This window comes from Homo sapiens, chromosome 11 (assembly GCF_000001405.40).
Source record: "Homo sapiens chromosome 11, GRCh38.p14 Primary Assembly".
NCBI lineage: Eukaryota > Metazoa > Chordata > Mammalia > Primates > Hominidae > Homo > Homo sapiens.
Window position 1 is genome coordinate 120,835,940 of NC_000011.10, and position 23,202 is coordinate 120,859,141.

Genomic DNA, 23,202 nt, shown 5'->3' on the forward strand with positions numbered 1-23,202 from the left:
GGGTGAGGCATGCCACAGGCAACTGATTCCTTACGACAAATAAAGGACCCAAGTTTGCAAATGAGTCACTTGTTTCCGACGTCACTGCAGATTCAAGAATACCCTTATGACTCTGCCCTGCACTCTGACAGAGTGGAGTTGATTTGCATTGCTACAACCTACGGACTCTCTTATCTATGCCAGGGCCCCAAAGAGAGTTGTGTTTGTGGTTCCATCAGTGTGACAGTCCTGAAGGGGGAGTATAGAGTTTGGATAAAAGCACTGAAATTAGGCTGCCTGGATTTGCTTTTATCTTTTCCATTAATGAGACATGTGATCTTGTGCAAGTCACTTAGCCTTTCGTTGTGTCAGTTTCCTCAGCTGTAAAATGGGGTTGGGGAGGAATAATAGCGCCAACCTCATAGAGTTATCCCATGTAGAATGCTTGAGAGTGCCTGACACATACTAAACAGTGGGTTAGTGTTAGCCATTGTTATTGTTAATAGCTGTGGAGATCATTATTGTAGTCTTTTTTATTATTTGCTTCATTTCCCTAAAAGTCATTTTGGTTTCAGTAATGTCTGGCTATATCCATGGGAGTATGTTGTGTACAAGAACACCAGCTACTACGCATGCCACTGCAGGGGTAGGGGGCCAGGCGGAGGTGGAGAGACCCCGCTCTTGAGACCAGAATTTCTGTGCTCCATCCTCTAAGATCAAGGGCAACATAAGAACTAATCAAGATGTTCTGTTCTGCCTGGTGCCAAGGGGCAGTGGGCCAGACAAATGGTAGACACTTGGAACCCCTACTGCTCATTTGCTTCAAGTGAGTTTTTGTTTTCTTCTCTAATCTCCTTCTCTTCGCCTTGCAGGCAGCCGAACTTGGGATGGTGTCAGCCTATTACACATACATCTTCACTAATCTGGTAAGATGTTCTCACAGCTCACCTCCTTGGAAGAGAGTGTTGTCAGTGGTCAGGATTGATGGATTATAAGGGAAAAAGCCCAGGGGATGACGAGTACAGGAGATAGAAGCAGAGGAGCAGAAGCCAACCAGAGAGGCAGGGCGTCCTGGAAATTCTCATCCCAATAATTCTGAGCCACAGGAGAATGAGGATTTGGGGAATCTAATGCCTCCATTCAAATGCCGCTAGCTACATAAAGCGAATTCTGGGCTGTAGTGTGATGGACGAGCCTCCTCAGTAGGTCCAGTTACTGGCCTGCAGTCTAGTCTCTACATGGACTTAGGGATCAGGTGTCCTAAAAAGTCCTGTGAGGTTTAGAAGATGACAGCCCAGAGAGACAGGCTTGGACTCTGAGATCCTTGTTCTTTTCCAGCTGTCGGTGTCTATGAACAGTCCTTTCCAGGGGCTGCTGTGGGATTGTTAACCCTGTAGCATCTGACAGGCCTTTGTTCTCAGAGTTGAAACAGACCTTAGAGGAATTTAGTGTGACCTTTCTTCTGGTATAGGGACTCCCACAACAGGCTTGTCAGGAAGCCGTTCAGCCTTCTCTTGAACTTGAGTAGAAGTGCCTAGTTTGCCACCACCATCCAAATACCTGCCCCATTGTTGGGCATCTTCATGGTAGTCTAGCGTGCACATAGATGAAAGCCACACATATTATATGCGCGTAGCTTAAGAAAACTTTTTCCAAGTAAGCACACCTGTGTAAGCAGCACACAGCTCCAGAAATAGAGCATTACCAGCACCCCAGAATCCCCCTCATGCCCCTCAAAACATAAAACAGATGAACTTGTTTCCTTTTTTTTTTTTTAACCTAACACTGCTGCTATAAATTAGAGCATTAATATGTAAAAAGGGAGAAAAGGATTAGACTACTCCCAGAGCAAAGCAAAAGCATTTGCTTAAAGTAAGGAGGCATCTGGGGGAGCCTGGGCAAGTTGGCAAAGGAGCAAAGAGAGATTAAAGTACAGTTGTGTTCCATTTTGGGAGCCTGGGAAATAGAAGGAGGAGAGGGAAAAGGCAGGCCAGTGCCAGCCTGCCAGAGAGGCTCCCTAAATTAGGCCGGCAACATGAGTAGAGGAGGAAGGAACTGGGCAACGAGGTGTCGCTGGGGTGATTTAGCAGATGGAAGGAAGCCATTCATTTGGAATATGAGTTCCCAGGACAGTCACCGGAATGAGGTGGAGTTGCTTGGCTTAGAGGTTTTTAAGACAGCATCCTCCACAGTGTACCACTATTTCCCATTCATAGAAATCATAAGAATGATGGTGATGATATTATCTAGTGGAAAAAGCACTGGCCTGTGAAGTCAGGAGGCCCAGAGTCAAGTCCTGACTCAGCCTTATGCTCACTGTGAGCCTTTGGTTGAGTCGCAGTGACTCTCTGAACCACAGTTTTCTCATTTTAAAAATGGGGACATAAAACCTTACAAGTTTATTATGAGGATTAACTGGAATTCTGTAAGTAAAAATGTATTTTAAATAACAAAGTCCTATATGTTTCTAAGGCATTATATTTAGAAAAATATATAGCTCTATGATGCTTTCAGTTTTCAAAGAGCTTTTCTCCTTTTTGGGTGGGCATGAATGAGATCAGCTTTGGGAATTAACAGGACTCATGGAATTAACAGTTTGTAAGTTTGCAAGAGGAAATCATGATGAAAAGTAACTGTATAAATGATGCTGGTTGAATAATAGTCAAGAAAACGACAGCAGAACCATTGCAAAAATCTGCCAGTAAGAGAATATTCTAGAAGCTTCTCATGAGTGTGTTGGCTTTCTAAAAGGGACAAACCTCTAATAGGAGTAAAGAAACTGTTTTTAGGACCACTCTTTCTGCCCAGTTGCAGTTGGTGTTTTTTTTGTTTGTTTGCTTTTTATTTTGTTTTTGTGTGTGTGTGTTTTGTTTTTGCTTTTTTTGAGACAGAATCTCGCTCTGTCACCCAGGCTGAAGTGCAGTAGTGCCATCTTGATTCACCTTCCAACCTCTGCCTCCCAGGTTCAAGCCATTCTCCTGCCTCCGCCTCCCAAGTAGCTGGGATTACAGGCACACGCCACCATGCCTCGCTAATTTTTGTATTTTTAGTAGAGACGGCGTTTCACAACATTGGCTAGGCTGCTCTCAAACTCCTGACTTCAGGTGATCTGCCTGCCTTGGCCTCCAAAAAAGGCTGGGATTACAGGTGTGAGCCACTGCATCTGGCCCAGTTGGTGTTTTGGGCCATAGAGGGAGGGGCTTCATCCAGAGGGTAATGAGTTGTCTTCTGCATTCTCCAGTCCCTTCTCCCCAATACAGATGCCAGCTGGGTTTTCATTCTTATTTCTTCTTTCTCTGAATCCCTTGGGGATCTCCACCATGTCTCATCACTCTGAATTCTGCTACAGTGATGCAGTAGGTCCTCAGATCAGCTTTTAGAGAACAAGCATGGTGAACGGGAAAGGCATGGATGGACCTTGGCATTAGGTACTCATGACTCAAAACTTTTGTTTGACTAGCTACTGGCTGTGTGATCCTGTGCAGTTTACTTAACCTTTCTGAGCCCCAGGAACCTCTTCTGTAAGTGGACACTAATAGTACCTGCCTCGGGAGATAATGTACACATAGCAATGGACTCACAATACGAGTTTATTTAGGAGAAGGTGTTATTTTAAGAAGTCCAGCTTATGCCTCCCATGGGCTAAAATGAATGGAAGATGCTTATTTTGCTCCCCAGCCATGCATGACCTGTGAAAGTGACTCCTAAAATGCCATTTTATTTATTTCCAGATAAGAAATAGGACTAGGTAGTATGGTTATTGTGTGTGACTGAACTGACCATTGTAGGGTTTATTTGTGTCGGTAATTACTGAGTAATTGATCAAATGCCCATACCTCACTCCCATCCAGGCATAAAGAAAAGTGATTGATTTAGGGCATCTGTAATAAATGAATTAGGTTGACTGCTGTGGATTCTGTCAGTTGATTACCCATCACAAGAATTGGGACAAAATTATCCATCACGAATCGAACTTCTAAACCATCAGTTCATTTGACCCTATAGAAACACAGCTTCTCTCTCTGTCAGGGTCCAGTCAGCAGAAGAGTGAGTGTTCTAACCCTGAGCCTTGGGTGACAGAGGTGACTGATGCAATAAGAGGAACTGAGCCAGAGAGAGCGGAGGCTGCTCGGGGGTCACACAGCCATCACAGGCGGAGCTGGAAGAAGCTGGGCAAGTCCAGGGAAGGGCCAGGTCTCTGGTGCAGGGGAAGCTGGGCTCAGTGACAGGGTGACAGTGAGGTGTCAGGCAATGGAGAGAGACACTTCTGCAGGAGGGGAGAGAGCAGCAGACAGGGACAGCCCCTCTCCAGAACAGAGGAGGAAGTCAGTGACAGGAAGTATGGAGATGAAGGCACACAGTCAGAGGAAACAGTGAACTGACATCTGGGCCTTTTATTTATATTATCTATTTCAAAATGAGATCTGGGTGGTCGGAACTGATGTTAGAGACTTGATCAGTGAAACAGCATCATGCCCCTGCTTCTGGTTCTAGTGGGTCAGGAATCATTCCCCACAGAGGAAATCTCTGATCAACAGACAGCAATGGCACCTGGTTAAGGTGGGAGCTCTGGGGCAGAGGGTCAGCTTATGAGGTCCAAATCGTGAGAACTTGACAGGTAAATTGACAGCACTTGGCCAGAGGTCGGGCACGCAGAGAGCAACTATGAGGAAGTAAGTCCTGGCAGGTAGACTGAGGCAGGGGGTCAAAAGTCCAGGCCAAAGTGAAGTGGACCGATTAAGGAACAAATTAAGAGAAATAAAATTACTGTGCAGAGTCATAAAAGCATGCCAACACAGAGAACTAGTTTCTGCCTTCATCCAGAAATCAATCTGCCTGCCTGCCTGCCTTTGTTTGCAGTTTAGTGGCGTTAATTATATTCTTAGTGTTGTACAACCATCACCACTATATATTTCTAAAACTTCATCCAGCCAAACAGAAACTCTGTACCCATTAAGCAATAGCTCCCCATTCCCCCTCCCCATGGCCTGTGGTAACCTCCATGTTATTTTCTTCTCAGTGAGTTTGCCTATTCTAGCTAGGTGCCTCATAGAAGTGGAATTATACAATATTTATCTTTTGTGTCTAGTTTATTTCACTCAGCATAATGTTTTCTAGGTTCATTCATGTTGTAGCATGTGTCAGAAATTGCATTTCTTTTTTTTAAGCTTTGTATTATTGTGGTGAAATATATGTGACATAAAATTTGCCATTGTAACCATATTTAAGTACACTTTTCAGTGGCATGAAGTACATCCACATTGTTATGCAACCACCAATACCATCCACCTCCAGAACATTTTTCACCTTTTCAGAATGAAACTCTGTACCCATTAGACGCAAACTCCCCATGTCTTTTTGCACCCAGGCCCTGGCAACCACCATTCTAATTTCTCTCTGTATGGATATGACTACTCTAGGTATTTCATATAAGTGGAATCATATAATATTTGTCCTTTTGTGTTTGGCTCCGTTTACTTAGATTCATGTCTTTAGGGTTCATTCATATGTCAGAATTGCCTGCCTTTTTAAGGCCAAATAATATACTATGTGTGTGTAGACACACACATACCAGATTTTGTGTATCCGTTCATTCATCGATGGACACGTGGGTCGCCTCCACCTTTTGGCTATTGTGAATAATGCTGGCATGAACTTGGGTGTGCAAATGTCTGTTCAAGTCCCTGCTTTCAATCCTTTTGTGTATATGCCTAAGAGTGGAATTGCTGGGTCATGTGGTAATTATCCGTTTATTTATTGAGAAACCACCGAACATTTTCCAGAATGACCACACCATTTTTCGTTCCTGTCAGCAATGTACAAAGGTCCCGGTTTCTCTGCAACCTTGACAATACTTGCTATTTTTCATTTTTAAAAATAATAGCCATCTCGATGGGTGTCAAGTAGTCAGATGTGTTTTTTATTTCTATTTGAAGTGTGCAAATTGGAAGAAGCAAGACCACGTGACTGAAGTTGAGAGTCCTGGTGATTAAGAAGCTTTATAATGAGGGAAAGTAGCTGATGAATAAAAATCACATCCTTACAATCAGTCAGAAGTGGTAAAAATCCCCAGTTCAGGAGCTTATGAGCTGGGACCTTTGGAGGTTCTCTGTCCTCATATGTAAAATATGAATAATAATATCCACCTTTTAAAAATCTTGGTAAGATTTAAAAATTAGCAACTGATAACACTGTACCTGGTAGGTAATGCTAGCTGCTATAACAGATAAACCCCCAGATCTCATCGTTTCACACAATGGAAGAAAATTTCTTACTCAATTGAAGTTCCAAAAGGGTGTTTCTGGTAAGCAGCATTCCATAAGGTTATTCAAGGCCCCAGTCTTCTTCTAGTTTATAAATGTGTCCTCTTAGAGACCAGTGTTAGGAAAACAACATGGAAGATCATACATGGGAGGGTTTATGGGTCAGGCCTGGAAGTGACACGTATTATTTCAGCTCACAATTCCATTGGCTAGAATTCATCACATGGCCACACTCACTTGTAAGGGAAGCTGGGAAAGGTAGTCTAGCCATGTGCCCAGGGAGAAGAGGAAATGAGTTTAATGATCACAAAGCAATCTCTGCCACATTATTAAATTATCAATCATCATCACACATCTATTTCATGTATACTAAAAAAGCAACTAGAATCCCAAGCCCTGGCTTGTCTTTTTAGAGGATAACTGATCCTAAAAGTGGAAATCAGCACTTAGTTATAAGGATGTCAGCTTCCCGTGTTCTCTTACCCGAGGAGGGCATGCATAGGGCAGTTATAGATGCACTGTGCTTATTCGGCTCTTTACTCTGCAAGGGAGTCTCTGTCTTCCAGTCAGCCTCTGGGTTTGGTTGGGGGAAACCTTTGTTGTGCAAGACTGATGGAAGTTTGAATAAAAGACATAAAGAATTAAGGGCCTCTGGGCAACCAGTCTACCGTTGAGACAGCAGGGTGGTTGATGCCGTAAGAGAAGAGATGAAGGAGGAAGCTCAATTTGAGCTAATAAATCTGGAGGGATTATCCAGCAACTAATGAACCCAGAGAGATATGCAGTCACTGCCTAACAGAAAAGATAAGATCACCCTAATCTATTATCAGAGAGCATAGGTGGGCCCTGTGCCTATGGCAGGAGCTGCCATCTCAGCAGAGAGAAGTGTTGAGATTTAAGGGTAAAGGTCAAAAGTCAGGGACTGCCAATGAAAGATGGGAAATAATTGGGCACTGGAAGCAGGAGGCTGTGTGGTCTGCTGACCACTGAGCTGCTACGGCATTGCAGGTGGTGTGACTAGCTGGACTCCAGCGCCACCATTTCATTGCCATGCCCCAGGCAGGGCCAGAGCTCCCTGCTCTCGGCACCGCCGCTGTGCTGGAGGGTAGAATGCTATTTGTGGGGTGTCAACAGAGGCAGTGGGCACCCAGAGTTTTTCTTTTGGGGAATCTAGAGAGAAGGGACTGAGAGCTGGGTATGCCATGTTAGAAGACAGGGAGAAGGAGTACATCAGCAGGAGGCCTCATTATTATAGAGGGCAAGGCCCTGGACTAGCAGTGAAGCAGCTATGGCTTCAAGTTCCAGTCCTGCTACTAACTAGCTGGGTGTATGGCAATATCAATAGTTGATATTTACGTGAGTAAGTGCTAATAAGTGCTTCACAGTTTTTTCCCATTTAAACCTCACGACAACTCTAGCAGGAGACACAGTTTTATCCCTGTTTTAGAGATGAGCAAGTTGAGACCCTCTTCACTCTACCGCCTGTATCTGGGTGAGCTATTTTACCTTGCTGGGCTTCGGTTTTTTTATCTGAAAAATTGTGAGGTTGTATTAGGTGATCTCTAAGGGCCTTTTCAGCCTTGGACCTGTTTCATCCTATATGTGGTTTGGGGCATTTCAGTTCACAATGCCTTGGAATTGGGGATGTTCCCTGGAGTGAGGGGAGAATGCCCCATCAGGTTGGGGAGTTCGTGTGACTCGTGGAAGCAGTTTCTGTTCACCCGACAGGTCCTCAGATTCCCAAACTATAGTCAGGTCCAAGTGAGCCCTGCAGAAATAACCCCTCCATGCCCCAGTCTCTATCTTGTTTTGGCAGAATGGATATATGCAGCCAATTTTCCTCCCCTGGGTTCGTTTTATTGTCAGTAGACCTGAGCCTATGTTTATTTTTCCAAAGGTTTATCAGAGAGATTAGCCATAAGTAATTTGAAATTGCTAAAATTATTACAGAAAGGGGACCCAGGGCAGACAGAGAGGGAAAAAATAATTGATTCCAGGAGGAAATGAGAATGCACACAGCCCCACTCTTTCACTCCTTGCTTTGGTGAGTTGACGCTACTCATCTTTCAGGACTTACTTAAATGTCACTTCCCCAAGGAAGTCTCCCCTGACACCCCGCAAGGTTGAGTCTGCTGCCACACACTCTCCCAGCACCCTGTGTTCTTGTTTTTGTAGCATTCATCTCAAGTGGGAATCCATTTTTCTACGCTAACCTTTCCACCAGACTTTGAGCTTCATAAAAGCAAGATCAAATCAGTCTTGTTCATCACCATAGATCCAGTGGCCTCCTACATAGTAGGCACTCAATAAATATTGTATGAGTGAAGGGAGCATTCCATAACATCTGGAGTTCTTGGGGTAGAAGGGCTGGCCAAGTAAGATAAGTCATCTCTTTAGATCCCACAGGAATTCAGTTCATCCCAACTAAGCCTCAGACACAAAGGAACCTATCTGCGTTTCAGCTGGGGAGAGCTGGGCCCTATTCCCTGTTCCGCAGGACCCCCGGTACTTGCTTAGCCTACATGACAACTACTCCATCTGGAATACCCTTCCTCCCATTCTGAGCTGGACAGATTTGAAGTCAACGTTGTGCAGGACCATGTAGGGTGGTTTAGTTCAGGATCCAAGAGACACAATTTCAGGGGTTCTGCTGAGTGAGAGTGATGTCAAAACCTGAGGCCCAGGGTTGGCACCAAGAATGATCACTGAGGCAGGGGAGGGCAGAAGAGTGCAAGGACAGTCAGGCTGATTGTGACAAGTGGTCTCTCTGTCACCTGGGACTGTTTCCTTCACTGGCCACACCATGCCTGCCTTGGTCAGCCTTGATCATGTGGTGTCTTCAGGCCAACACCTGGCAGCTGACTCATAGAGCCAGAACCCAAGGGTCTTTAGAAGAAACCTCTCCTTCAGGTTATAAAGGCCATTATGAAGTGATCTAGTCCTGTCCTCTGTCCCAATGGCTTGGCATATGAGGTTGGGTGAGCCTGATTACTATGTTGACACTGAGAATAGAGAAAGGGTTTAATGGAAGCTGCCAGGGCCTCAGATCAGAGAGAACTTGAGTTCCTATCTGGGCCCTGCCGTACATTAGATGTACATGCGGCAAGTTACTTAACCTGTTGGCCTATCAGTTTTCCCTCTTGTAAAATGGAGATAATCATGCTTATCTCATAACATTATTTTGTGAAGACGATGGGAAGTTTCTAATCCTGAGGGTTGTTAGTAAATATTATTTCCCTTCCCTCTCTTTTTTCTCACTTACCTGTCAAGTATTTCCATCCTTAGACCTCAGTTTCCTGATTTACTGCCTCTAGCTTTCCAAAACTCTACAGCTGTTATCAGAAACATTTCAGTTGGCCTCTCACCTAGTTGAACTGTAATTCCCAGGATGCTTGAGCCTTTCAGTTCTTCACGGAAAATGCAACAGGCACACATGAACATATACACACACATCCCTATGCACACTTCTACACACACACACACACACACACACACACACGGCCAGAAGTTACAATCCATCAGCCAGACAACTTTCTAGTGCCAGAGCAATTGATTCCAAAGTGTAGTTTATTGTAAAATTATTAAGAGTATCCACATATTTCAGCTTTATTGAGCCTTTTAGGAGAACCACTCTGCATAATATAGTATACTTTGATGAATAAATATGTTTTAGTGCAACTAGAAAAAAGAGTGATGGAGTGAAAGCTCCTTGTGTGTCAGTCTGAGCTGCCAAGGTACCACCCTACCCAATGCAAACCCTGAGAGGTGGCAGGTCTGGCGGTGACAGATGTCTCCTGGGCGTGCTTGGGCACAGCAGTTTCTTACAGAGATGCTATTGATCCAAACCTGTGTTTTCCAAAGCTGCTAACCCTCCTGTACCTATTCTCTGCACATGGTTGTTGGAAGATGGAAATATGTTCAGAAGGAGAAAAAACAGAGAGAATCACAAGGGGATTCAGGAGGCATTGACTGAAGATTTATTTTTTGCATTGTGGAAACTGTGGCTGACAGCTTGAAGTTCCTTGGCCCAAGTTATAGGATTATAAAATGATTAGCCAGCTATGATTAAGCAATTTGCATATGGAAAATGCTACCATCAACTACACTGAGTCAGCAAACATCTATTAAGTGCCTGCTGTGTGGTGGGAGAAACAAGGACTAGGAGGATGTGGTCCAGCAGGATGTGAATTGAAGAGGTCTGCGTCTATTAATGTGAGGTGTGGCAGCCCAGAGGAGAGAGCATGTAGTTCTTCTTTGGGAGTTTGGATGAGGGTTTACAGATATGGCTTCCCTTACTGAAGCATGGGTTAGAGATGGCAATTGGAGAGTGACATGTAGGCAGTGGTAAGTTATAGTTCCTTTTGTGCCTGGAGCAGGAGAGTGTGATGGAGAGAGGTGGACCCAGAGCCAGCCAAGGAAGTCTCAGGTGAGATGATGTCCTTCTGCTATGCACGTTTGCTGGACTTTTCAGCATTGGAATTGGCGTCAGTAGGCCCAGGGTCTTGTTTTGGCTGTCCCACTGACTGTGTGATCTTGGACAAGCCCTTTCTTCTCTGGAGACAAGCTAGAAGGTCTCCAAAGACCTTTCAACTCTGAAATTCTATTGAGTTTATGGATTGGATGAATACATAATGAACAACCAGATGAATTCTCCTGGTGAATTTTTTCCAGATGAAATCGGCCACCCTCCTCTTCACGGTTTTCCAGTGTCCTCATCTGGCTGGCTCATCCCTGCAGTGCCCTCAGCTGTCCAGATCCCCCAGAGTGGGGGAGCACCCCTGTCTTCTGAGCTGTCTTGATCTCTCACCACCCCCTTACCCAGAAGTATCTGTCCTGTGTCCTCACCTGCTCCGTAGAGCCCTGACAAATGACAGGGCAATCTGAAAATCCAGTTCGTGCCAAGGTGCTAATGTCCATGACAACATTAAATTCTTTTGGATTGTTGAGAGCATCTAACTAAATCTCATCCTTCTACAGTTGAGTAAACAGAACTGAAGAGGGAAAGTGACTTGGCCAGGCTCTCACAGTGAGTCAGGAGTAGAGAGAGGAGGTCTCCTCACTCACACAGTTCACACATTCCCTAGATCAGCATTAACTGAGCACTTACTGTGCTGTGTGCTGGGGATACAATGAAGAATAAAATTCTGATTTTCCAGGAGGTCAGACTAGAGGGGAAGAAGAACACAAGCAGATTATCATAAATCAGTGGGTTCAATAAAGTGATGAAGATATGCACAGGGTATTAGGGGGCCATCAAAGGAAGGCCTCCAGACTAGCCTGGCAGGTTCATCAAAAGCTTCCTGGAATAGGCCAATCCAAAGGGCCTTGGAGAATCAATGGGAGTTAGTCAGGTAGAGAAGGACATTCTAAGTGGGGGATACACACAGTTAATGGCTCATGCATCCCAGACATTTGCTTTTTAGCTAAGGCCTTAACCAAGGAAGCAGATTGCATGAGAAATTGTGGAGCTTGTAAGGAAGGTATTTTGGAGGTGGGGAGAACCTTTCAGAACTTTCATATTACTCCCCATGGACAGCCAACTTACTATCCTATGTAAGGCAGGGGAAGAGGAAAGGCATATTCCCAAGTGGACCTGAGTTAGCACCTTTAGCTTGGTGGTGGCTTGTCACAAATGCCTGTCCCAGGCTAAATATCATAAAATCCCAGACCCAGGGATTACCACTTGGATAGCTGTCAATAGGTGTCCCTCTTCCAGGGAATGGGCCCTACTGGCCTAAAAAGAGAATGGAAACCAGAGCTTCCCTAGGGCAGGAGCAGGGAGATTAGGCCAGTCCTAAAGATGGCATAGCCTTGGTTCGCTTCCAGTGCCAGCTAGGAATAAGTATCTGAAAGGTGAACTTTATTCTGCCAACACTGGAGTGCATCCCTGTTCCTGACCCTGGAAGCCTTCTCACCCTGAGATCCAAGTCATGAGAAACTCCCTCCTGGAGGAGGAATGCTGCAGGGAGGATGGCTGGGCAGCCGTTGAGGGGGCAGGGGATGTAGTAGGCACAGGTACAGACTGACTCTAAGATGCTATGTGCCATTGACGAACTACATCCAGAGCTCCAGGAGACCCCAGGTGGGCAGGGCTTACCTCCTATGCTCTGTTCACCTTTCTTTTTGTCAGCATTTATAGGTGGCCGCTCTTTCCTCAGTACTTCTGACTTTCCCTCTCCTTATGCTAACAGTACCTAGCGCAGGCTCTGGTTCAGGGGGCATTTGAATCAAGCCACTGCCTTACTTGGCTGGTGGGTATGTGGCTGTTCACCCATTCCTGTTGGGCTAGGGGAAGAGGAAAAAGTGGTATCAGAGAAGGGACCCTTCCCTTGGCAAGCTCAGGTGATCAGAAGAATCACCCCAAGCTGCATGGGAACTTTCCCCAAGAGTACCCCAATATTAGGCTGTTCTATTTGGGTCCCTTCATCTGCTCTCCACCCACAGCAAGAGTTGGTCTCAGCTGGGACTGATGAATCAGTATATCCAGGGGGGAAATGAGGCATTATTGTCAGTTATCCTGGAAGAATAGCCAGACACTGTACCCTGGGGATGCAGGATCACTAAAAATGAAAATTAACCAATTAGGTCTTTATCCCACCCAGAGCTAGGGTAGGGGAGGAGGAGCCAGCCCCTGGGCCTTTCAGTGAGATCTGGTTATCCAAGGTGAGGCAGGAGTTGCCAGATACCCTCAATTCCTAACCGAGGGGGACAGGGGGTGTGAGAACAGAATGGATATTGCCAGGAAGTCAATAGAAACTGAAGAAGCATTCAACAGGGGATGTTGAGACCCTGGTGGAGGTAAAGAAACTCTTCTTTGCTTCGGAGGAACCAATTATCAGACAACCCCTTTGCTGATGTTTGACAAATAGCATGACAGGGAAGATAAGTCCCACGGGGCTCCCAGAGCTGAGTTTGAGATACTTGTGTAGCATCCATTTAATAAAAATTGAAACGCATTGCTTGTATCTGCCCCCAACGCGCGCACACACACACACACACACATTTCTATGCCCATGTGCCTTGGTGAGTGGGTGCATCAGACTGTGCATATAAAATACATCAAACTGAAATAAGAACAAGACCCTGGAGACTACTGTGGTTCAATATCTCTGGACACATAATGGAAATGCTCCCCTTTGACTGCCCAGGCCTTCTATCTAATAGAGCTTTGGGAGAAAAGGAAGCTGCCTTGACCCTCTATCACAAAGTTGTTAAAGATTCAGAAGTTGCATTAATTTAATGAGAGATGCCTCGGCCTTCCGTCTACTGATCCAACAATTTCCAATTATTCACAATCAAGAGAGTCTAATAATAAAAATCTACCCATTTCCCAAAGCTGGTATTCTCACAATAGGCGCTGCTGGCTCTTGAGTACCAGCAATGTACCAGATGCCATGCCCAGCACCTTCTACTCAAGATCTTTAACCCTCAAAATAACACTGCAAAGTGGGTGTTCCAATTCTACACAGTATGAAAGTGAGGCTCAGAGATGTTCAAGGGTCTTCACTCAATAAGTGGCAGATGTGAGAATCTGCTTTTTACCTCCCAGTCTACATCTTGTACTTGTCAAACTGATCTTTTTGGCTTTTCTGTGCTCTATTGGTTTCTATTGTTGTGTGACAAATTACCACAAAGTTAGCACCTTAAAACAGGAGCATTTATTAGTGCAAAGTCATATAGGTCAGAAGTCCAGCATGGCATGACTGGCTCTTTGCTCAGGCTGAAATCTAAGTGTCACCAACTACATTTTCATCTGGAGCACAAGGTCCCCCTGCAAGTTCATTCCTGTGGTTGGCAGAATCTACTTCCTTGTGGTTATAGGAATGAAATCTGTTTTCTTGCTGGCTCTTGGCTAGGGACAGCCTAGCCTCAAGAGACCATTCTTGGGTCCTTTCCCCATGACTGCTCCATCTCATCAACAGGGAACCTCCCTGTAGTCCAGTTTCTCTCTTAGTTCATATCTCCTTGGCTTCCTCTTCTGCAAACAGCCAGTGAAAACTCTTTGCTTTTAAAGGACTCTTAGGCCAGGCTCATCTGGATAATCTCCTTCTTTGAAGGCAACTGCGTCATATAGCGTAACCTAATTGAGAGGTAAAATTCATCGTAGTCACAGTCCTGGGGAGTGTGTGTGTGTGTTTGTGTGATGTGTGTTTCTTGGGGGTCATCTTAGAATCCTGCCTACCACACATGCCAACTGTGTAAATTAGTTTATTTTCTTTTCCTTTCTCCTCTACCATCTGGTGAAATGGTATACAAGGAGAGATCTGGGGCCAGGGCACCAGGAGGAGAGTGCTGGAGACACTTGAGGCAGGAAATCCATACATCCCTTGATCATGCAAATGATAAACTCTGTGTTGTCTCTGCTGAAGCAAGGCAGAGCTCAGGGCAGGGCCCATCCCTTGCCTCCTGATGATGGCCTGTAAACCAGCCCCTGAGGGAAAACTGACAGCCAAGGCAAAGGGGGAAACCAAGGCCTCTCTCTTGAAACTGCTGTGGCTAGCAGGGAGGCTGGTGGCCCTGAGGAATTTGGGCCCTGCTGAGAAGAGTGTTTGAGATTTAATGAATGTTTGGAAAGCAGAAGGAGACTGAAAATAAAAGGCATTATGGCAAATCACATTATTATTATTATTATTATTATTATTATTATTATTATTACATTATAAGTGCTATTGTATTACAAGCACCATTAGGAGTAGCAATTGCTGTTATTATTAAGCAATCCAGCTTCTCCATCCTCAGCATCAGGCTTCACTCCATGTCAAAGGCGTCAACAGCTCCGTAAATCACCATCTGGGGCTTCCCTCACATTCATAGCCCAGTGGCAAGCCTGATGCCTGCCCATCCCACTGAAGCCTCCAGCCATAGCTCATGTGGTAGACGCATCTCCTGTGAATTCCAAAGCTGGATTTTTATCTTGGCCAAGAGTTGAGATAGTCCTAAACCCATTCCTGATCATATTGCTCTCTTGCTTAAAACCCTTCAGTGGCTGTCTCCCCATTACCCTCAGGATAAAGTCTGAACTCCTTAACATAACTCCTGTGACCTCCTATTCCCTATCACCCACTGCACCCCCCAGCCATACTGAATGACTTGCAGGTCCCTGAATCTGTTATAAGCTCTTGCTGTTCTGGGGCTCTGCACATGCTGTGGTTTCTCTGTTCGTGAAACTCCTCTTCCCACCTCTTTATCTGGCTGACTCCTGCTCAGCTTTCAGGTCTCAACTTGCAGTCAGCTCTCAGCTCAGGAATATCAGCAGCAATTCTGGTAGAAAAGACCACCTTATACGTGCCATGCCGTGTAATTAACTACTCTTCAGGACTTACCTTCCACCTGCTACTAAGTTTAAGCATCTTGAGGACAGGCATGGAGTGTGCTTATCATTCTATTTCTAGTGCCCAACATGTTGTGTGTTCTCAAGGAGACACTCATGTTTTTGTTGAATGAATGAAGGAATGAGTGAGACTAACTAAGATCTAAAAAGTGTCCAAGAGCTGAAAATCTGTTATGCATATCCCTGCCCCTCCCCCGCCCCCACTGTGGGAACCTATCTGAGAGCCTGGTGGCCTCTGGAACACAGCAGAGTCAGCAAGATGCTCAGTCCTTGTGGAGAACCCATTATTTGATCCTGCTGCCAATGTGGAGCACATAAATTAGTAAGGAGGCAGAGTCCACTGATTAACAGCATCGCTCATCTTCCTAAACAACTCCTTGTACCCCTGGTGGGATGGTGGAGCTGGGGGTGCCTGGGATCTCTACGTGCCTGAGGCTAATGTGTTGGGACCTGGGAAAGGAGAGGTTTAGCAACTGATGTATAGACAGGAGGCCTGACCAGTGAATGCTGATCAGTGCCTGAAGAAGGAAGCAAGCCTGCAGAAAAGCGGTAGCTCACTGCAGCCTAAGGGGAGAGCCCGAGGTGTCCACTAGTTCTCATTGTCAACTTGACTTACTGAGGCTTCAGCTACACAGTTAACCACACAGTTAATAACTACTTATTTAGCACCTAGAGACCCAGAACAGTGTTGTAAATAAAAAAATGAAGACAGACCCAGCTGCTGCTGAGGAGGTAAGAGGGCTTTCCACCTGGCCTCTGCCTTCCTCTTCCTGGAAGCATATGACTGAGGTCTTTGTAAAGGCAGTTCTACCCTGATGGGTGTTTGCAGGTGAACATGAATTAATTTAATGAATGTGTATTGAGCACTTGCTAAGCGCAAGTGTAGGATATAGTGAAGGGGATAGAGCATGAACAAGAAGGAATATGGTCTGCCTTTGAAGTCCTGTTTGTGGACTCATGTTGGGAAAGAAGAGCAGAGAAAGGACAGAGTTCCTGGGAGGAAGGGATGTGCATGTCCAGGTTATGGGGTAAATGAATAGGAAACATGCAGGGAGAAGAATCCAAAGCTGGGAGATTTAGGACCAAATCTCCTATTAAATAGAATTCATTGACAGGTGTGAATTAGCCTCCCAGCTGCTACTGTCTTCAAAGACCTACAACACAAAAAGCCATCTCCCAGCCTACACAGAGAGCACAGGCTTTGATGCAGATAAATAGACAGACGGGTACCGCAGTCAAGTGGGCTCAGGAGGGAAGGAGAGGATGTAAGGGTGCCCAGGAGATTTTGGACTTCTGGTGGCTCCAGGGCTTTCCTGCAAAAAGGCTAAGAGAGGACTTCTGAGACAAGGGTCTGGGGCCTGGCTTCTGTGATGCATTAGATCTAGCTATGAAGAAGAGCCTTGGGCAGGTGAAAGGACCAGGCTGCCAATGGGGTGAGATGAGGCACAGCCTGACAAGTGCTGCCTTCCTAAATGTTTTTAGTCAACAGCCTTGACTTCTTTCTATATGGGGTGCACCAGAGTGAACACTGATAATGTAAGTGCATTTCTTTCAAATGGCATCTAGTCCTTGGAGAGGTAGCTTTGAACAAACTCGTGATAAAAAGCTCCAAGTGATGACAGGTATGTAGATGAGGTGTAAAGGGGGCATGATTGAGTGGCCGCTTCTTCCAGGCTTGGGAGATGCAGGAGGTCAAGGTGGACACTGAGGAAAAGGTAGGCAGGAATCATAGCATGAAAAGACTTGTGTGTCTAGCCAAGGGGTTTCTGTCCTGTATTCAGTAAAGGAGTATTCGGTGAGGGGGAAGTTCATGATCAAATGTGGAGTTTAAAAAGATCTCTCCAGCAATAACATGGAGAAGGAACTTGGAGAAGTGCAAGACTAAAGGAGGAGAAACCAATGAGTCCGTAGTCTAGGACCAAGCTGGTGAGGATCTGATTTGAGTTAGAGATGATGGGGTGGAGGGCAGGGATCAGATTCAAGAGATGTAAAGGAATTATAATGTCCTCAAATGACAATAAATGAGTGCATACCTGCTTACATGAATGAATGAATGAGATGTGGACAGTGAGAGCATGGAAGGGGAGGATGCATTCTAAATTCTAGCTTGATTGACAGGTGGATCATGTGACATTCACAAACAGGGAACCAAGGGAGGGAAGCAGATCCAAGTGGCAAGATAAGGAGTTCAAGTTAAAGAGCGATACGGTCTTAAGGATATCTTCCTCCTTTTCAGCTTCATAATAATATTTTAAGAAATTAGAATCGTTTAGTGTTTCAGGACTCCTGGGGTGAGAACATTTGAAGTTGTCAATCATTAACAATCACAGTGATGGAGTATGCTTTGACACCACCTCCTAGTGGCCTAGCCCAGTGCTGAGCACACAGTAGGGAAGATAGAATAATCACTGGTCTTATTTGCCAAGGACCTGGATCTTAATTCCATGTCTGTCTTAGGGGCAAGACATTTAACTCCTGGGCACCTCAGTTTGCTCTTCTACCACATGTGAAAATGAATAAAACCTGTTCTGTTCACTTCCAATTGTGGTCGGGAGCCCCAAAAGCAGTGCATGAAAGTGCCCTGTAAGCTTCATTCAGCCACATCCGTGGAAGCAGTTGATGTTATTATACTCAGTAATAAATTGATATTTCATAAATCACTTTGATGTGGGTGACATGAGGCTGCCAGCCTCCTCTCCCAGGCAGTTAGGGTCCAGGGCTGAGCATGGAGCAGAGAGGATCAGAGGCTGAGGCTTGGGTGAAAGCAGGCAAGAAATGAGGGACTGCTTGAAACCCCACTGTTAAGGGGGTTAAGGATTTTAAACACCACTGTTAGGAAGCAGAGCCAGTTCTGGAGTGAAGAGGCTGCAAATAGGGCCAGTTATAACCCAAATGGGTGCAAGCGTTAACACTTGGAGAGATTTCAGAGGTCACAGAGGTGTTGGAGTGACACCTTTTATAGGTTGCCTGTGGCCCTGCTGGGAAGGGAGCTGTTAAGGTTCTTGGACTACCTGGGGCTGAGGGCTTTATGCAGACGCCGGAGACAGCCAGCCACCTTTGTGGCGTGATCTGGTGGGCTTCAGGAAGGCCTCCGCACACTGCCTTCCTCACTACCTGCTAATGATCCCTGAAAGTGCATGAAACATGCATTCCTTGAGCTATTCTATTATTACTTCTAATAATACTAATAAGGAGTCTGTATCATACTTCCAGTCTGCACAGAGCTCTCCTATGTATTATCTTTTTTGAGTCTCACAATGGCACAGTGAAGTCTTATTTCCCCCATTTTAAAATGAGGAAACTTTTCTGATTAAAAAAGAGAAAAATAAAGAAATTAAAAGATTTTTTTTTAAAGATTGGTTTTTGGAATGTGGGCTTTCAGAGAGGAACATCTAGGTCAAAATACCCAAAGACAGTGTATGATTTAAAATGCGGTGACTCCAAACCCATACCCACTCTCTCCAGGACAGTTATTCTCCTAACCATTTAATTAAGCCCAAAAGGCAACTTTTGATTTCACTGATTTTTCTAGGTGCCAGGGACACAGCAGTGAGTGAGACAGTCTATTCTACCTTCCAGGAGTTCACAGGCCAGCGGGGAAGCATTTGAGGCTCAAATAATGATGACCGTGGAGAGATTTTACTAGGGGCGGCTGAGGCTGCTGGACAGCTCTCAGCAGAAGTTGGCCAAGTTCACCAAGCTGCATTCGACTGCCTGTTTCTCTGAGCCATCTTAGCCACACAAGCCTGCAGTTATACTGCATTGACTTCTAATTCCTTCCCACCTGCTGCACCCTGGTACTTGCTGTGACTCCTTTTCTGGGTTCTTCATGCTGAACAGATGCGATGTGAGGCAAACCTCAGCTCTCTCATGTTCTCAGTGAAGTGCTCAGTTTTGCCTGGCGCACAGTTGGTGGTCAGTAAATTGTAGTAGTTATTATTAGAATTATTGCTTTCTTGTGATTATTCATGGTTGGAAGATCTGGAACTTCAACTAAAGGCTTCTCTCTCAACACAAATAGCCAGACCAAGCAATTAGCATCTTATGGTGACTTTTTTTTTTTTTTTCGAGACAGAGTCTCTGTTGCCCAGGCTGGAGTGCAGTGGCACCATCTTGGCTCACTGCGACTCTGCCTCCTGGGTTCAAGCGATTATCCTGCCTCAGACTCCCAAGTAGCTGGGACTACAGGCAGATGCCACACAACCACGCCCAGCTAATTTTTGTATTTTTAGTAGAGATGGGGTTTCACCATATTGGCCAGGCTGGTCCCGGACTCCTGACTCCAGGTAATGCCCCGGCCTTGGCCTCGCAAAATGCTGGGATTATAGGCGTGAGCCACCGCGCCCGGCCTATGGTGACTTATTTAGCAAAACTTTTCCCATTTGACAAGTAGCTAAGAGTCACCTCTTGCCAAACAAAGAGGAAGAGAAAGAGGAAGGCGAAGCCTCCAGGCCAGATCTTTCCTTTTGGCAGGGCCCAGCAGTTCAGGGGGACCAGGAAAAGGAAGGAGATTGGGGCAGTGCACCCACTTTGGTGACACCGGCAGCACGGAGGATGGATTGCACTTGGACAGAAGAGGACTCCCAGGCCATGAGTACCTGTGTGCCAGGCACTTCTCATGGATTACCTGTGCAAGGTAGATGCTCTTACCCGCACTTTACAGGTGAACACATCGAAAGTTCAGAGATCCGCCTGAAATCAGCCAGCCAGTATGTGGCCAAATGAGGGTTTGAAACCAGGACTGTCTTATTTCAAAACTTGTGCTCTTTCTAATACATGCTACTGTTTCCTGATGAGATTGCCACATTGCACAATGTGGCACCAAGGGGCACCATTCACATGGTCATCAGTATAAATGGCACCTGGGAATTGAACAGCATAGTGGCTAGGTATCCTAAGATCAGAGGCACGATCTCCATTAAATAGCAGCTATTGCAGAGGAGAAATGACGAGGACCTAACCTGGAGGGGTTGGAAAGGAAGGGACAACTTCGAGAGACATTTAAGAGATAGATTTGACAGAATTGGCAGTTGACTGGGTGTGGAGTTAAGAAATAAGGGAGTTGAGGCTGTCTCTGAAGTTTCTAGCTTAGGTGCCTGGGAGAATAGTAATGCCCTTATTGGTTAGGAAGGCAAAGGGGAAGGGGCTGTTGGGCAGAAAACATCACGGAATGCCACTTCCCCTGCTTACCCATTTGACCTGGGTTAGGAGATGAACTTGATTTAAGGGTACCACCTGGACCTGTGCTTTGGTTTCTTGCTTTTCTACTTAAGGTCAAACTCAGAAACAATCTGGGCCATTAAAAGTTCTTGTGCTTTTAGCTGTAGTTGACTAACCTGGTCCTGTCCTCAGGATTGACTAAATCCCACCCCCAGTGATGGGACTTGCCTGCTTAGCCCAGCTGAACATGTCCCCGGGGCCCTGCTTCCCCTAGACCTCCCTTGCAGAAGCTGCCCACAAGGTCTGCCCAACCTTTCCCTTATCCCTCCATGTTCCCAGACACCAGACACTAAAGCTCTACATTTCTTGGCACTGGACCCTGTGTGGTATAAGGCATGGTCGGCCCCTTGCAGCCATGGTAATCTCACAGTTTCCCAGACCCTCTCTTCCTCTCATCCTCCAACAAAACTACCTGAGCTCTAGGACCTCCACCTGTCTGGGGCCATGCCCAACTCAGCCCCCACTCAGAGCCTGTCCTTGCTCCCTGGCCCAGGCGATGAACAGGCTGTAGACCCATAAAGCTTCCTGCAGCTTGCAGTGAATGGATGCCTGTTTGTAAACCAGGACATTGGACATGGCACGTCTGCTGCAGAAAGTGAGGGGCGCCCTTCCACGTAGCTCTCAAGCCATTATCCGTGAAGCATTCCTTCATCTCAGGGTAACATCTGCCCGTATCCACTTGTGGCTCTGACCTGACCTTCAACTATAGCTATTTGGACCCTTACATACCATTGTATACACAAAGATTTGCACACATGTATGCACACATGCACACACACACACACACACACACACACACTTTTAAAAATGTTTTTCATGTGAAAGCCCAGTGATGATAAAGCAAGCTGTCAGGATTTAAAAAAAAAATACAATAATGCAATTCACAGAGGACAGTCAGTGGTTAGCACAGCTTCTACTCATGTTTTTACACCTTCTGGAGGTGTGACAGGGTGTGCTTGGTGTTAGAGTTGGCCACAGTGAGACCCCAAGGCATTAAGATGTCTTCAATCAACTGTCCTCAAAACAGCGTTGACCAAACAGCTTTTAGGTACCAAGCACTCTCTAGATGCAGTGTGAACTTCAAAAATGAGGCAGACATATCTTTGCTTCCTGGAAACACACAGCCCCCTGTAGAGAGAGACCACATGTGTGAACAAACAATGCAACATGGGGTCCATCACAAAGCCACCCACACTTGGAGTAGTGGAAGACCTGGTCCTGGTCTCTGCCCCACCACTTGGCTTTACCAGGTCCCATTTGCTCTGTTCTTCACCCTCATTCCCTGGTTTGGGACAATGGGAGTCGATTCCTGTTGGGAGCAGGGACCCTCAGGATATCCCTTCCTGGGATATTTATAAGAAGAGGATCAAGGTCCCCATGAGAACCTGTTCCACCCGAGGGACTGTTCCTTTCTGTCATTGTATGAAGGTTACAACCAGCCAGGCAGTGTGGCTGGGGCGGGGTTGGGGAGGCATAATGGGAGCCTAAGTGAGCCAGGTGTGCATTCTTAGGTAGGGCTCAAGATGGGTGGGCAGCGGAAACTGGGTGAACTTTAATCCCTTCCATTCCTGAAATGTGTTCGTTTTATGAAATATCTCTCTCCGCAAAATGTCTCCACCACTTGACTTTGGATTTCTAAGAAATGTTTCTCTGAATAGATGTAGAGTAGCATTTCCCAGATTGCGTTCTGAAGCACGCCACTGCCAGGCACTCATGGATTTTGGAGGAGAAAAAAAAACCCATAGTCCTGCTTTGTTCCATGGTCAGTGTGTTTGGGAAGTTCAGGGTTAAACAAAATTAAACCAGCTGCTTCACTGCTGGACTCTTTTCAGCCTTTAATATGCTAGTGATTATTACGAATCTTGAAAAGGCAGATATAATATGCATTGTTTTCCAGCCTTATCTGAGCATGGAACCTTGTCTTCATGAAATTTCTGTTGGTGTCACCTGGAAACCTAATGCCCTGAGGAACACACTTTGATAAATACTGGCACATAAGATGTTCATTGTTTGTAAACTAACGGTGGTCAGTTATTTCCCATATTCTTTTAGACAATAGTCTTCAATAGCAGCAGGAAAGTCTTAAGTTTAGATAAAAAGGAGAATTTCCTAACTGTAAGGATTCTTAGATACTAGAACCTTAGAGTGTCGTGGGAAATGGCAGTAAAAGAATGTGCCCCTCCCCCTTCCTTGTCCTTCCACAGGCTATCCCATGAGTCATTATAAATAGAATGAATTATCAAGGAAGCTTCTGGAATCTTTTTATCTTAAGAGGCCTTTGAAAGTTGCATAGAATTGTGGGACAAGAAGGTAGGAATAAAAAGGCAGGAAGACAGACTGGCTGACTTCTGGGTAGACTGTCTCTAAGTGTCTGTAATTAACTCATTCATTCTTACTCCGCCCAGAACA

The 23,202-nt window shown here is 45.6% G+C and overlaps 1 protein-coding gene across 21 annotated transcripts in view; it reads left to right on the forward strand.

The window, feature by feature from the left end:
- The window catches only part of GRIK4 (glutamate ionotropic receptor kainate type subunit 4), a 477,159-nt gene that overhangs the window by 324,192 nt on the left and 129,765 nt on the right, over window positions 1-23,202 (forward strand). For 18 of the 21 annotated variants that reach the window (NM_014619.5, NM_001440404.1, NM_001440403.1 and 15 more), the window contains one exon: window positions 852-905. In NM_014619.5, coding sequence (NP_055434.2) covers window positions 852-905 — 54 coding nt within the window. The other 3 variants (XM_047426840.1, XM_011542786.3, XM_011542787.3) reach the window with 3 other exon arrangements.